Source organism: Homo sapiens, chromosome X, assembly GCF_000001405.40.
Source record: "Homo sapiens chromosome X, GRCh38.p14 Primary Assembly".
Taxonomy (NCBI): domain Eukaryota; kingdom Metazoa; phylum Chordata; class Mammalia; order Primates; family Hominidae; genus Homo; species Homo sapiens.
In genome coordinates this window covers 97,503,170-97,516,906 of record NC_000023.11, presented here as the reverse complement: position 1 = coordinate 97,516,906, position 13,737 = coordinate 97,503,170, and the positions used below count along the sequence as shown (strand labels likewise).

At 39.6% G+C, this 13,737-nt stretch overlaps 1 protein-coding gene across 1 annotated transcript in view, besides 1 other annotated feature; it reads right to left on the bottom strand.

The window, feature by feature from the left end:
- The window catches only part of DIAPH2 (diaphanous related formin 2), a 920,156-nt gene that overhangs the window by 88,091 nt on the left and 818,328 nt on the right, over positions 1 to 13,737 (bottom strand). The window lies entirely within an intron of this gene.
- Positions 11,834 to 12,703: an enhancer, noted in NCBI's record as "OCT4-NANOG hESC enhancer chrX:96759203-96760072 (GRCh37/hg19 assembly coordinates)". NCBI's record gives its function as "activates a minimal SCP1, AML or CMV promoter by ChIP-STARR-seq in naive and primed H9 embryonic stem cells {active_cell/tissue: H9 hESC(naive and primed)}" and the evidence as "EXISTENCE:reporter gene assay evidence [ECO:0000049][PMID:30033119]".

Sequence of the window (13,737 nt, the reverse complement as noted above, 5' to 3'; positions counted from 1 at the left end):
AGTAAAAAAGAAGATAAAAGAAAAAAACAGGCCAGATACAGTGGCGCATGCCTGTAGTCCCAGCTACTCAGGAGGCTGAGGCAGGAGGATCACTTGAGCCAAGGTTGCAGTGAACCATGACTGCACCACTGCCCTCCAGCCTGGACAACAGAGCAAGACCTTATCCTGAAAAACAGAAACAAAACCAAAAACCAACTAGTAAGAAATTCAGGGGGAAATAGCCACAGGTATAATCAGACAATTATCTGAAAAGAGATGACACAATATCTGTAGGATAAACAAGCTGCGTTGCCTCCTCTGTGAAGACTTTTTGGAGTATCACAAACTATAGTGATCTTGTCCTTCTCTGAGGTCCTATTGCCACAGAGCCTATTTTTTGCACTAAAAATGTAAACATGTGATGTGATAATGAATTTTGATTATTTTGAAAATTCTAGGATATATGAAACCTATAGAACATCATTTTGGTACATATTTGTTTTTGCATATAATTCTTTTATTTTTTATAAGTCTTGATTACCCAAGTAAACAGAGCAAGCTTTCTACATTTATATTTCCCACAGTACTAAGCACATAGTATTTCTTCAGTAAATACCTATTGATGGAGTACATTCATGGCCTTATGGCTTTTTTTTTATTTATTATTTTTTTTGAGATGGTGTCTCGCTCTGTCGCTGAGGCTGGAATGCAGTGGCGCGATCTCGGCTCACTGCAACCTCCACCTTCCGGGTTCCAGCGATTCTCCTGCCTCAGCCTCTTGAGTAGCTGGGACTACAGTAGGCGTGTGCCACCACACCCAGCTAATTTTTGTATTTTTAGTAGAGATGGGGTTTCACCATACTGGCCAGGCTGATCTCGAACTCCTGACCTCATGATCCGCCCGCCTCCGCCTCCCGGTGTGCTAGGATTACAGGCATGAGCCACGGTGCCCGGCCTTATGGCTTATTTTATATGTTTATTATTATGAGTATAATCCTTCAGATGTAGAATTCACTAATCTACCAGCTTTTCAGAGTGAGAAGTCCCTTGTTTTGCTACTGATGGGGTTCAAGACCCGCTACCAACAGTATGTCACCTTGGCATTTGATAAAATAGCAGAAGCAAGGTCACTCTCACCTTCCCCTTGCCCTTCTCTCTTGAAGCAGGCCATAAAACCTTCATTCCAGAGGTACCCCCAAACCCCACATTCAGAGGAAAGGAACATCCTTATCTCTGAAGATACAAGGACACAGAAAAGAATCAGAAAACACAGGCCTTGTTAAGTCCCCCACACTTTATTATTATTAGATCATATCCCCTTTGTCCAGTCATATTTCTCCACTACCCTCCACTTCTTCATCAAACCTAAGCATAAGAATACACAGGTTTGGGTTCCTGAGCCAAGATGGCTGAATAGGAACAGCTCTGGTCTACAGCTCCCAGCGTGAGCGACGCAGAAGACAGGTGATTTCTGCATTTCCATCTGAGGTACCGGGTTCATCTCACTAGGGAGTGCCAGACAGTGGGCGCAGGACAGTGGGTGCGCGCACCGTGCGCAAGCCGAAGCAGGGCGAGGCATTGCCTCACTCAGGAAGCGCAAGGGGTCAGGGAGTTCCCTTTCCTGGTCAAAGAAAGGGGTGACGGACGGCACCTGGAAAATCGGATCACTCCCACCCGAATACTGCGCTTTTCCGACGGGCTTAAAAAACGGTGCACCACGAGATTATATCCCGCACCTGGCTCGGAGGGTCCTACGCCCACGGAATCTCGCTGATTGCTAGCACAGCAGTCTGAGATCAAACTGCAAGGCAGCAGCGAGGCTGGGGGAGGGGCGCCCACCATTGCCCAGGCTTGCTTAGGTAAACAAAGCAGCCAGGAAGCTCGAACTGGGTGGAGCCCACCACAGCTCAAGGAGGCCTGCCTGCCTCTGTAGGCTCCACCTCTGGGGGCAGGGCACAGACAAACAAAAAGACAGCAGTAACCTCTGCAGACTTAAATGTCCCTGTCTGACAGCTTTGAAGAGAGCAGTGGTTCTCCCAACATGCAGCTGGAGATCTGAGAACGGGCAGGCTGCCTCCTCAAGTGGGTCCCTGACCTCTGACCCCCGAGCAGCCTAACTGGGAGGCACCCTCCAGCAGGGGCACACTGACACCACACACTGCAGGGTACTCCAACAGACCTGCAGCTGAGGGTCCTGTCTGTTAGAAGGAAAACTAACAAACAGAAAGGACATCCACACCAAAAACCCATCTGTACATCACCATCATCAAAGACCAAAAGTAGATAAAACCACAAAGATGGGGAAAAAACAGAGCAGAAAAACTGGAAACTCTAAAAATCAGAGCGCCTCTCCTCCTCCAAAGGAACGCAGCTCCTCACCAGCAACGGAACAAAGCTGGACGGAGAATGACTTTGACAAGCTGAGAGAAGAAGGCTTCAGACGATCAAATTACTCTGAGCTACGGGAGGATATTCAAACCAAAGGCAAAGAAGTTGAAAACTTTGAAAAAAATTTAGAAGAATGTATAACTAGAAAAACCAATACAGAGAAGTGCTTAAAGGAGCTGATGGAGCTGAAAACCAAGGCTCGAGAACTACGTGAAGAATGCAGAAGCCTCAGGAGCCGATGCGATCAACTGGAAGAAAGGGTATCAGCAATGGAAGATGAAATGAATGAAATGAAGCGAGAAGGAAAGTTTAGAGAAAAAAGAATAAAAAGAAACGAGCAAAGCCTCCAAGAAATATGGGACTATGTGAAAAGACCAAATCTACGTCTGATTGGTGTACCTGAAAGTGATGGGGAGAATGGAACCAAGTTGGAAAACACTCTGCAGGATATTATCCAGGAGAATTTCCCCAATCTAGCAAGGCAGGCCAACGTTCAGATTCAGGAAATACAGAGAACGCCACAAAGATTCTCCTAGAGAAGAGCAACTCCAAGACACATAATTGTCAGATTCACCAAAGTTGAAATGAAGGAAAAAATGTTAAGGGCAGCCAGAGAGAAAGGTCGGGTTACCCTCAAAGGGAAGCCCATCAGACTAACAGCGGATCTCTCGGCAGAAACCATACAAGCCAGAAGAGAGTGGGGGCCAATATTCAACATTCTTAAAGAAAAGAATTTTCAACCCAGAATTTCATATCCAGCCAAACTAAGCTTCATAAGTGAAGGAGAAATAAAATACTTTACAGACAAGCAAATGCTGAGAGATTTTGTCACCACCAGGCCTGCCCTAAAAGAGCTCCTGAAGGAAGCGCTAAACATGGAAAGGAACAACCGGTACCAGCCGCTGCAAAATCATGCTAAAATGTAAAGACCATCGAGACTAGGAAGAAACTGCATCAACTAACGAGCAAAATAACCAGCTAACATCATAATGAGAGGATCAAATTCACACATAACACTATTAACTTTAAATGTAAATGGACTAAATGCTCCAATTAAAAGACACAGACTGGCAAATTGGATAAAGAGTCAAGACCCATCAGTGTGCTGTATTCAGGAAACCCATCTCACATGCAGAGACACACATAGGCTCAAAATAAAAGGATGGAGGAAGATCTACCAAGCAAATGGAAAACAACAAAAGGCAGGGGTTGCAATCCTAGTCTCTGATAAAACAGACTTTAAACCAACAAAGATCAAAAGAGACAAAGAAGGCCATTACATAATGGTAAAGGGATCAATTCAATAAGAAGAGCTAACTATCCTAAATATATATGCACCCAATACAGGAGCACCCAGATTCATAAAGCAAGTCCTGAGTGACCTACAAAGAGACTTAGAATCCCACACATTAATAATGGGAGACTTTAACACCCCACTGTCAACATTAGACAGATCAACGAGACAGAAAGTCAACAAGGATACCCAGGAATTGAACTCAGCTCTGCACCAAGCAGACCTAATAGACATCTACAGAACTGTCCACCCCAAATCAACAGAATATACATTTTTTTCAGCACCACACCACACCTATTCCAAAATTGACCACATACTTGGAAGTAAAGCCCTCCTCAGCAAATGTAAAAGAACAGAAATTATAACAAACTATCTCTCAGACCACAGTGCAATCAAACTAGAACTCAGGATTAAGAATCTCACTCAAAACCGCTCAACTACATGGAAACTGAACAACCTGCTCCTGAATGACTACTGGGTACATAACGAAATGAAGGCAGAAATAAAGATGTTCTTTGAAACCAACGAGAACAAAGACACATCATACCAGAATCTCTGGGACACATTCAAAGCAGTGTGTAGAGGGAAATTTATAGCACTAAATGCCCACAAGAGAAAGCAGGAAAGATCCAAAATTGACACCCTAACATCACAATTAAAAGAACTAGAAAAGCAAGAGCAAACACATTCAAAAGCTAGCAGAAGGCAAGAAATAACTAAAATCAGAGCAGAACTGAAGGAAATAGAGACACAAAAACCCTTCAAAAAATTAATGAATCCAGGAGCTGGTTTTTTAAAAGGATCAACAAAATTGATAGACCACTAGCAAGACTAATAAAGAAGAAAAGAGAGAAGAATCAAATAGACGCAATAAAAAATGATAAAGGGGATATCACCACCGATCCCACAGAAATACAAACTACCATCAGAGAATACTACAAACACCTCTACGCAAATAAACTAGAAAATCTTGAAGAAATGGATAAATTCCTTGACATATACACCCTCCCAAGACTAAACCAGGAAGAAGTTGAATCTCTGAGTAGACCAATAAGAGTCTCTGAAATTGTGGCAATAATCAATAGCTTACCAACCAAAAAGAGTCCAGGACCAGATGGATTCACAGCCGAATTCTACCAGAGGTACAAGGAGGAACTGGTACCATTCCTTCTGAAACTATTCCAATCAATAGAAAAAGAGGGAATCCTCCCTAACTGATTTTATGAGGCCAGCATCGTCCTGATACCAAAGCCTGGCAGAGACACAACCAAAAAAGAGAATTTTAGACCAAAATCCTTGATGAACATTGATGCAAAAATCCTCAATAAAATACTGGCAAACCGAATCCAGCAGCACATCAAAAAGCTTATCCACCATGATCAAGTGGGCTTCATCCCTGGGATGCAAGGCTGGTTCAATATATGCAAATCAATAAATGTAATCCAGCATATAAACAGAGTCAAAGACAAAAACCACATGATTATCTCAATAGATGCAGAAAAGGCCTTTGACAAAATTCAACAACCTTTCATGCTAAAAACTCTCAATAAATTAGGTATTGATGGGACATATTTCAAAATAATAAGAGCTATCTATGACAAACCCACAGCCAATATCATACTAAATGGGCAAAAACTGGAAGCATTCCCTTTGAAAACTGGCACAAGACAGGGATGCCCTCTCTCACCACTCCTATTCAACATAGTCTTGGAAGTTCTGGCCAGGGCAATTAGGCAGGAGAAGGAAATAAAGGGTATTCAATTAGGAAAAGAGGAAGTCAAGTTGTCCCTGTTTGCAGATGACATGATTGTATATCTAGAAAACCCCATTGTCTCAGCACAAAATCTCCTCAAGCTGATAAACAACTTCAGCAGTCTCAGGATACAAAATCAATGTACAAAAATCACAAGCATTCTTATACACCAATAACAGACAAACAGAGAGCCAAATCATGAGTGAACTCCCATTCACAATTGCTTCAAAGAGAATAAAATACCTAGGAATCCAACTTACAAGGGATGTGAAGGACCTCTTCAAGGAGAACTACAAACCACTGCTCAATGAAATAAAAGAGGATACAAACAAATGGAAGAACATTCCATGCTCATGGGTAGGAAGAATCAATACCGTGAAAATGGCCATACTTCCCAAGGTAATTTATAGATTCAATGCCATCCCCATCAAGCTACCAATGACTTTCTTCACAGAATTGGAAAAAACTACTTTAAAGTTCATATGGAACCAAAAAAGAGCCCACATTGCCAAGACAATCCTAAGCCAAAAGAACAAAGCTGGAGGCATCACGCTACCTGACTTCAAACTATACTACAAGGCTACAGTAACCAAAACAGCATGGTACTGGTACCAAAACAGAGATATAGACCAATGGAACAGAACAGAGCCCTCAGAAATAACGCCGCATATCTACAACTATCTGATCTTTGACAAACCTGAGAAAAACAAGCAATGGGGAAAGGATTCCCTATTTAATAAATGGTGCTGGGAAAACTGGCTAGCCATATGTAGAAAGCTGAAACTGCATCCCTTCCTTACACCTTAAACAAAAATTAATTCAAGATGGATTAAAGACTTAAACGTTAGACCTAAAACCATAAAAACCCTAGAAGAAAACCTAGGCATTACCATTCAGGACATAGGCATGGGCAAGGACTTCATGTCTAAAACACCAAAAGCAATGGCAACAAAAGCCAAAATTGACAAATGGGATCTAATTAAACTAAAGAGCTTCTGCACAGCAAAAGAAACCACCTTCAGAGTGAACAGGCAACCTACAGAATGGGAGAAAATTTTCGCAATCTACTCATCTGACAAAGGGCTAATATCCAGAATCTACAATGAACTCAAACAAATTTACAAGAAAAAAACAAACAACACCATCAAAAAGTGGGCAAAGGATATGAACAGACACTTCTCAAAAGAAGACATTTATGCAGCCAAAAGACACATGAAAAAATGCTCATCATCACTGGCCATCAGAGAAATGCAAATCAAAACCATAATGAGATACCATCTCACACCAGTTAGAATGGTGATCATTAAAAAGTCAGGAAACAACAGGTGCTGGAGAGGATGTGGAGAAATAGGAACACTTTTACACTGTTGGTGGGACTGTAAACTAGTTCAACCATTGTGGAAGTCAGTGTGGCGATTCCTCAGGGATCTAGAACTAGAAATACCATTTGATCCAGCCAACCCATTACTGGGTATATACCCAAAGGACTATAAATCATGCTGCTATAAAGACACATGCACACGTATGTTTATTGCGGCACTATTCACAATAGCAAAGACTTGGAACCAACCCAAATGTCTAACAATGATAGACTGGATTAAGAAAATGTGGCACATATACACCATGGAATACTATGCAGCCATAAAAAATGATGAGTTCATGTCCTTTTTAGGGACATGGATGAAATTGGAAATAATCATTCTCAGTAAACTATCGTAAGGACAAAAAACCAAACACCACATGTTCTCACTCATAGATGGGAATTGAACAACGAGAACACATGGACACAGGAAGGGGAACATCACACTCTGGGGACTGTTGTGGGGTGGGGGGAGTGGGGAGGGATAGCATTAGGAGATACACCTAATGCTAAATGACGAGTTAATGGGTGCAGCACACCAGCATGGCACATGTATACATATGTAACTAACCTGCACAATGTGCACATGTACCCTAAAACTTAAAGTATAATAATAATAAAAGTTCCTAATAGTAAAAAAAAAAAAAAAAAAAAAAAAAAAGCAACATGAATGCCAATTTAAAAAAAAAAAAAAAAGAACACACAGGTTTTCCTGTTTCTTTGGGTCTTTATTTCCTAATTAAATTTCCTGTGTCACATAAAATTTACGTATATTAAATAAATTTGGGCTGGGCACAGTGGCTTACGCCTGTAATCCCAGCACTTTGGGAGGCCAAGGTGGGTGGATCACCTGAGGTCAGGAGTTCAACACCAGCCTCGTCAACACGGTGAAACTCCATCTCTACTAAAAATACAAAAATTAGCCAGGCATGGTGGTGCACATCTGTAATCCCAGCTACTCAGGAGGCTGAGGCAGGAGAATTGCTTGAACCTGGGAGGCGGAGGTTGCAGTGAGCCAAGATCGCACCACTGCACTCCAGCCTCGGCGACAGAGCGAGACTCCATCTCAAAAAATAATAAATAAATAAATAAATAAATAAATAAATAAATAAATAAATAACTTTGTATGCTTTTCTCTTGGTAGTCGGGTAATCTGTTTTTTTTTTGTTGTTGTTGTTATTGTTGTTGTTAAGGGGTCCTAGCTATGAATCTAAGATGGGAAGAAAAGATATTTCTTTCCCCCTATACTACGTAAGAGAAATAGTTAGATTCAAGCTGGTATTATGAAAGACTGCTTTGTAGAAAAAGAAGTCCTGCGCCAAATCAGATTTAACAAATGTTGCTTTTTCATCATTACTCAGCATTCTAGCCTCCTTCAAAGGAAAGCTCTGTAAATTAGAAACTTTGATGGATATGAGTTATCTGCATTCAGAGAACAAAGCCATGCTTTCCTATGTTTGTCACTTCATAATGTAAGTAATGACTCCATAGGTACTAACCACAGATATTAGGGAATGAGGGTGGGCTGGTGGTGGGGAGAAATGCAATTAAAAAGACAGCACATGTAGGTTTGCTGGCATAACTCTCAGTTTTACAGAATTCCTAACAATGTAAATTAGGCAGGTCTATTAAAATTTCTATCCATTCTCTATACTAGATGTGTAATCTCATTAGTCTTGACAAAGGTCAAGAATCTGAAAGTAAATCAGCACATACAGTAGTATGTTTCAATTTCCTTCATTTATAATTAAGATTCTCCATTACTGCATTTTAAACTCTCAGTTTATCAACCCTAAATCTATGCAAGGAATAAGAAATGAGCAGTTCCATAATAAAGCAAAGTATTTAGACTAATAGCAGTGTAGTATCTAAGAGGCAGTGTATAGTCTATGAGGAGTAAGGGCAGCCTAGATTAAAAGACCAGTGGAAATAAATAAAAGGTCATGTCATTTTTTTTTTAGATCTCACATCTCATTTACTTCTAATTTTTAATATTTAAAAGATAAAGGACAGTACAAGAAATTGCTTGCTGGTAATGATGGTTTGGTGTGGGGACAGATGGGTGTTAGAACAGATAACTTATTTAGGTGGGGGTAATGGGATGGAGACATGGCACTGAGTGGAGAACTTTGACACTCATGGGTTACAGAAATGAGTCACGTAATCTTCTTTATCACCAACACCATCTGCTGGCTCTACGAATCCAACTCTTCCCACTCTGGATTCCTTTCCCTTTGTCCCTTCTTCCCTTCCACTCTCCTCTCAGCACTCTCTGATCCATCCCCAGTATTCTATCATCACTTTCAAAGGGCTGTGGGCTCTGTGGGGGAATTAGGGACATCTATAGCCTGACTTTATGAAAAGCTGCCATAGTTTTAGTCAACTCTGAGTCTAATGCAAAAGATTTGTCGTTTCAAATGTGGAGCAAAATGGTTTTATCTGAATTCAAGCTATAAACATCACAAACTTGTAGAATTCAAGGATAGAAACTCTGAAAAACTAACTCATTGTTTTAACTGTCACGTATACAAAATGATCTCTTATGAAAGAATCACCATTTCAGAAAGCTTTCAGAATCAAATATAATTATGATTACCTCTCATAAGGAGGCTAGATAATCAGGACCTCATCATGAATAAAAGTTACATTAAGATGGGAAATCATTACTAAGTACCAGAATAAAATGTCTTGACAAGTAAGTAGTGTTTGAGTTTTTGGTCTAAAAATTATCTAGGGAAAAATTCTTCATATAAAGATTTAAAAAATGCAACATTTTATTACATCATATGGAAATATTTGCCAATATTATATAATATTGGATGATGGACTCTATGACTTATTCATTCATTTCACAAATATTGAGTATGTACTATATGTAAATATTGTGCATATTTACAAAAATAAGATGCGTATTCTGCATAAAATTGTTGTAAAAAAATAGAATTTATGCTCTCTGAAGGTAGGGATTTTTTTTTTTTTTTTTTTTTTTTTGTCGGTTTTGTTCACTGGTGTATCCTCAGCATCTGGAAGAAAGGCCAGCAACATTTTCCTTGTGAAGGGCCAGATGGCAAATATTTTAGCCTTTGTGGGCCACATATGGTGTCTGCTGTATATTCTTCTTTGTTTTTACAACTCTTTAAAGATATAAACAACATTTTAGCTCTAGTCCATGGGCTGGATTTGGCCCACTGACCATAGTTGGCAAACCCCTGATCTAGGTCATTGCCAAGCTTTAGTAAGAGCACATTGAACGTTTGTTAAAAATCAAAAATGTATTCAATCTCCACAATGTATAAGCAATGTGAAAACAACAAAGATAGCATAGTTGATGCCCTCCAAGAACTACTGGATAAGAAAAGGAGACAAGTGGACAGAACTATATACAGCACTAATGATAGTCAGGGTTACAAGACTCAGGAGGAAAGCTGGAATGACCAAATAACGTGACACTCGAACTGACTCTTGGACATGACTTTTAATGAAAAACAGTTCAAATGAGTTGTAGGTGGAAGAAGGTTCTAATGACTTGAATTAGAGGGGCAATTTTGGAACTCATGGATAAATATGTAATCGTTTCAACACCTTTCAGAAACTATAAGCCAAGAAAGAATTATGGCACCAGCTGAGGTTACAATTTTATTTCCTTTTAGTTTACCATCTGAAAAAAAAAAAAAAAAAAAAGGGCTGGGCATGGTGGCTGACGCCTCTAATCCCAGCACTTTCGGGGGCCAAGGTGGGCGGATCACCTGAGGTCAGGAGTTCCAGACCAGCCTGACCAATATGGTGAAACCCCATCTCTACTAAAAAATGCAAAAATTAGCCGGGCTTCATGGCGTGCGCCTGTAGTCTCAGCTACCCTGGAGGCTGAGACAGGAGAATTGCTTGAACCTGGGAGGCAGAGGTTGCAGTGAGCCAAGATGGCGCCATTGCACTCCAGCCTGGGCGACAGAATGAGACTCCATCTCAAAAAAAAAAAAAAAAAAAAAAAAAAAAAGGCACTAGATAGCCAGAAACATTATGCTGAAAATCAAGGAAGCTACTCTTCTTTGGATGAAAATGATGAACTCAGTGGTTTGGTTTGGGTAACATACAAATGCCACTGTTAAAGCTATGAGGTGGAAAAAGTATTGTAGCTATGACAAATCTTGAATTCTTGCAAGGTTGGTTGTTAACTATAATCAAAGCAGTACAATCCAAAAATAGGAGGGAATTGGAAATATACAGAGCCACATCAACCCAACAATCCTCTTAGAATCTGATAAATAGGGAGGACACTGACAAAACAGACTGTTAGTGAAACTGCATCTCAGCATTTTTATACAAATTATTTGACATTTTTAGTATGTCAGTACAGGTGTGGAGTTGGCTTTGAACTGCTGTTCATTTAGGTTATAACAGATGCAGGAGATTTAAAAAAATCCCTCAACTTACTGAAAAGATAAATTTAAATGTTCTAGGATTGATGAGTTAAAAAAAAAAAAAAGCCCTACCTCATTTGCTGCATTATGCTTCAGTGATCACCATGGCAGAATTGACCTTTCTTTATTAAGTACTGCATATGTTCATTCTTTACATGACATCCAAATGGATTCAAAATGTGATGAGGCTATTGGCTCCATTACTGCAAACTCCAGGTTGCTCATTTGTGCAAAAGAGGTTGTTCAATTCATGTTTTCCCTAAATCTAGTACTAATCTGCACAATCTAAGATGTTTGTAATCCTACTCAAATGCCTCCTTGCTTCCAGCTGTGTTTGTTAACATGGCTTCTGAGTCTTTGGGTTTTTTCCCCTACATTACATAATGATGGATGTCCTTTCCCTGGTTACTCCCCCTTGTTGAAAGTAACCATTGTCAGCAGCATGGCCTAACATGACTGGTATCATGCCCCGTAATGATGATGATTCCAAAGCAGAGATGACATAGAAAAGAGAGGGCAGCATCAGTCACAGAAGAAGAGGCCTGCTCTGCAATGTAGGAATCAAAAACTCTTTAATTGCAAAGTATTGAGAATTTTAGAGACATAATTGTCCATTGATGTTTGAACAGATTAGGATGACTATTTTGTACCCCATCCTCTAGATTTCCAATTAGGAAAGACTACATATGAAAATGGTATCCTGGCATTTGGCTGAAAACTGAACCACAATTCTAACCTATGTTTATTACAGCCGTGTGATGTATTTTATACCATGTCAATGTGTCTACTAAGAATTCACTCAGAGATTCATAGAAGAATCCAGTTTAGGTTGTGAGAAAGAATGCAGTAGTGTCAAGTTCATCCTTTGGGAACACACTCATCTCTGAAAAACCTGAAATTGGTGCTGTTTTTTCTATTACTAAATCTTTCTGGGTTTAAACAGAAATGCATTAAGTTTGGATTTCTCCTACTTACCTGGCATCACTTCTGACACAGAAACTGACCAAGTAATAGTCAATTAGGTTGACTGCTGTCATTTTGCATGTGAAAGAAACAGTAAGTACAGGATCTGCTTCACAAAGGCAGCTCCAGTGAGCAATGACTTATTTATCACAGACATTTATATGGATGCTAGAAAACAGATGTAGGATCCTTGCCTGGCAGCTGACTTACATGAAAAGGGCATTTTGACAGCCAATGACATTATAATCTTCCCTTGCTGCTGTACAAAAAAAGATTTATAAGGCAGCAGAAGGTAAAATAATCTATTTACATAATATATACTTTTAAAAGCATAATTGGATCGACATTGGTCAATAATTGGGCAGGGCAGCCAAGCATTATCACAGGCTATATATTTCACATTTTATAAGAAAAAGAGCAAGAAAAATCAGAAATCCCAAAAAGCCTAACAAAGAAAACATCTGGGAAGACAAGTAGGGTAACAATTCAGGATCTTTCTCGTTACAGTAAAGTCTCTACTATACAGCCTATCTAAGATATGAAGTGCTGCGATCAACTTAGATGTATTTATAGATAATTGCCAGAGATATTATAAACATAGCTCCCATTTCCAAGATTTTGAATATTAAATATAGTTAAAAATAAAACTAGGCTGAACATAATAGAAATATTTTTCAATAGCTCAAAAGGTACATTGGGGCATTACACTGTCTTGGGGCCATCATTAGACACATCACTCATCACTACGTTGCAACTATACAAATGTGCTAAATAATAGAGAGTTCTTCCATTTAATGTGAGGCTACTTAACATAGCTGACTATTTAGTTTGAAAAAAAATTCTGAAGCAGGTTGAATGCATAAAATTAGACCTATGGCATTTTAGCCTGTTTACCCATAAAAAGAATTGTTTTTGGATAATTATTTCAGCCCTTTCTTTGCAATTCTCTTATTTTTGCCACTGGGATTTTCTTAATTTTCTTTCTGGTCTATATGTGCTCCCTACATACTTTTAAACATTTTTTCACCCTGTCCTTTAATTTCTTTATTGATCTCATGAGCGTTCTATCAAGGTCCTCTTTTCCCCATTTAGGGAATTTCATTTTCCCATGGACTTCTTGTGCCATTGCTTAAAGTAGAGAATGGGGAAACAAAAAGGTTTGAGGTTATCTCCACTTGAAAGATTGGACTGAGGATCAAGAAATCTGCATTATAGTCCCAACTGTCGTTAGTTTGCTACATGACCTGGAGAAAATCCCTTCACCCTCTCTGGGCCTGGTTCTCCTCTTCTGGAAAATGAAGGATTTGGACTATATGACTTCTCAGAGTCCTTTGAGCTCTACCATACCACACCTATACTTTTGTCAGCAGAATAGCAATTATGCAGGGCAGTTCAAGTGCATGTAAACCTTGCCTGGAGACCTCAGGATGTGAGCAGATCTATTTAGTACATAATATGTCAATTCATTGTGATTCCTTCACTGTTGGCCCTTTGGAGTATTTCTACCACTGGTATAATTTCCCGAGGAAAGGGATTATTTCTTATTTATCTCAGTATCCTCAGCACTTAGTAAAATGTCTGG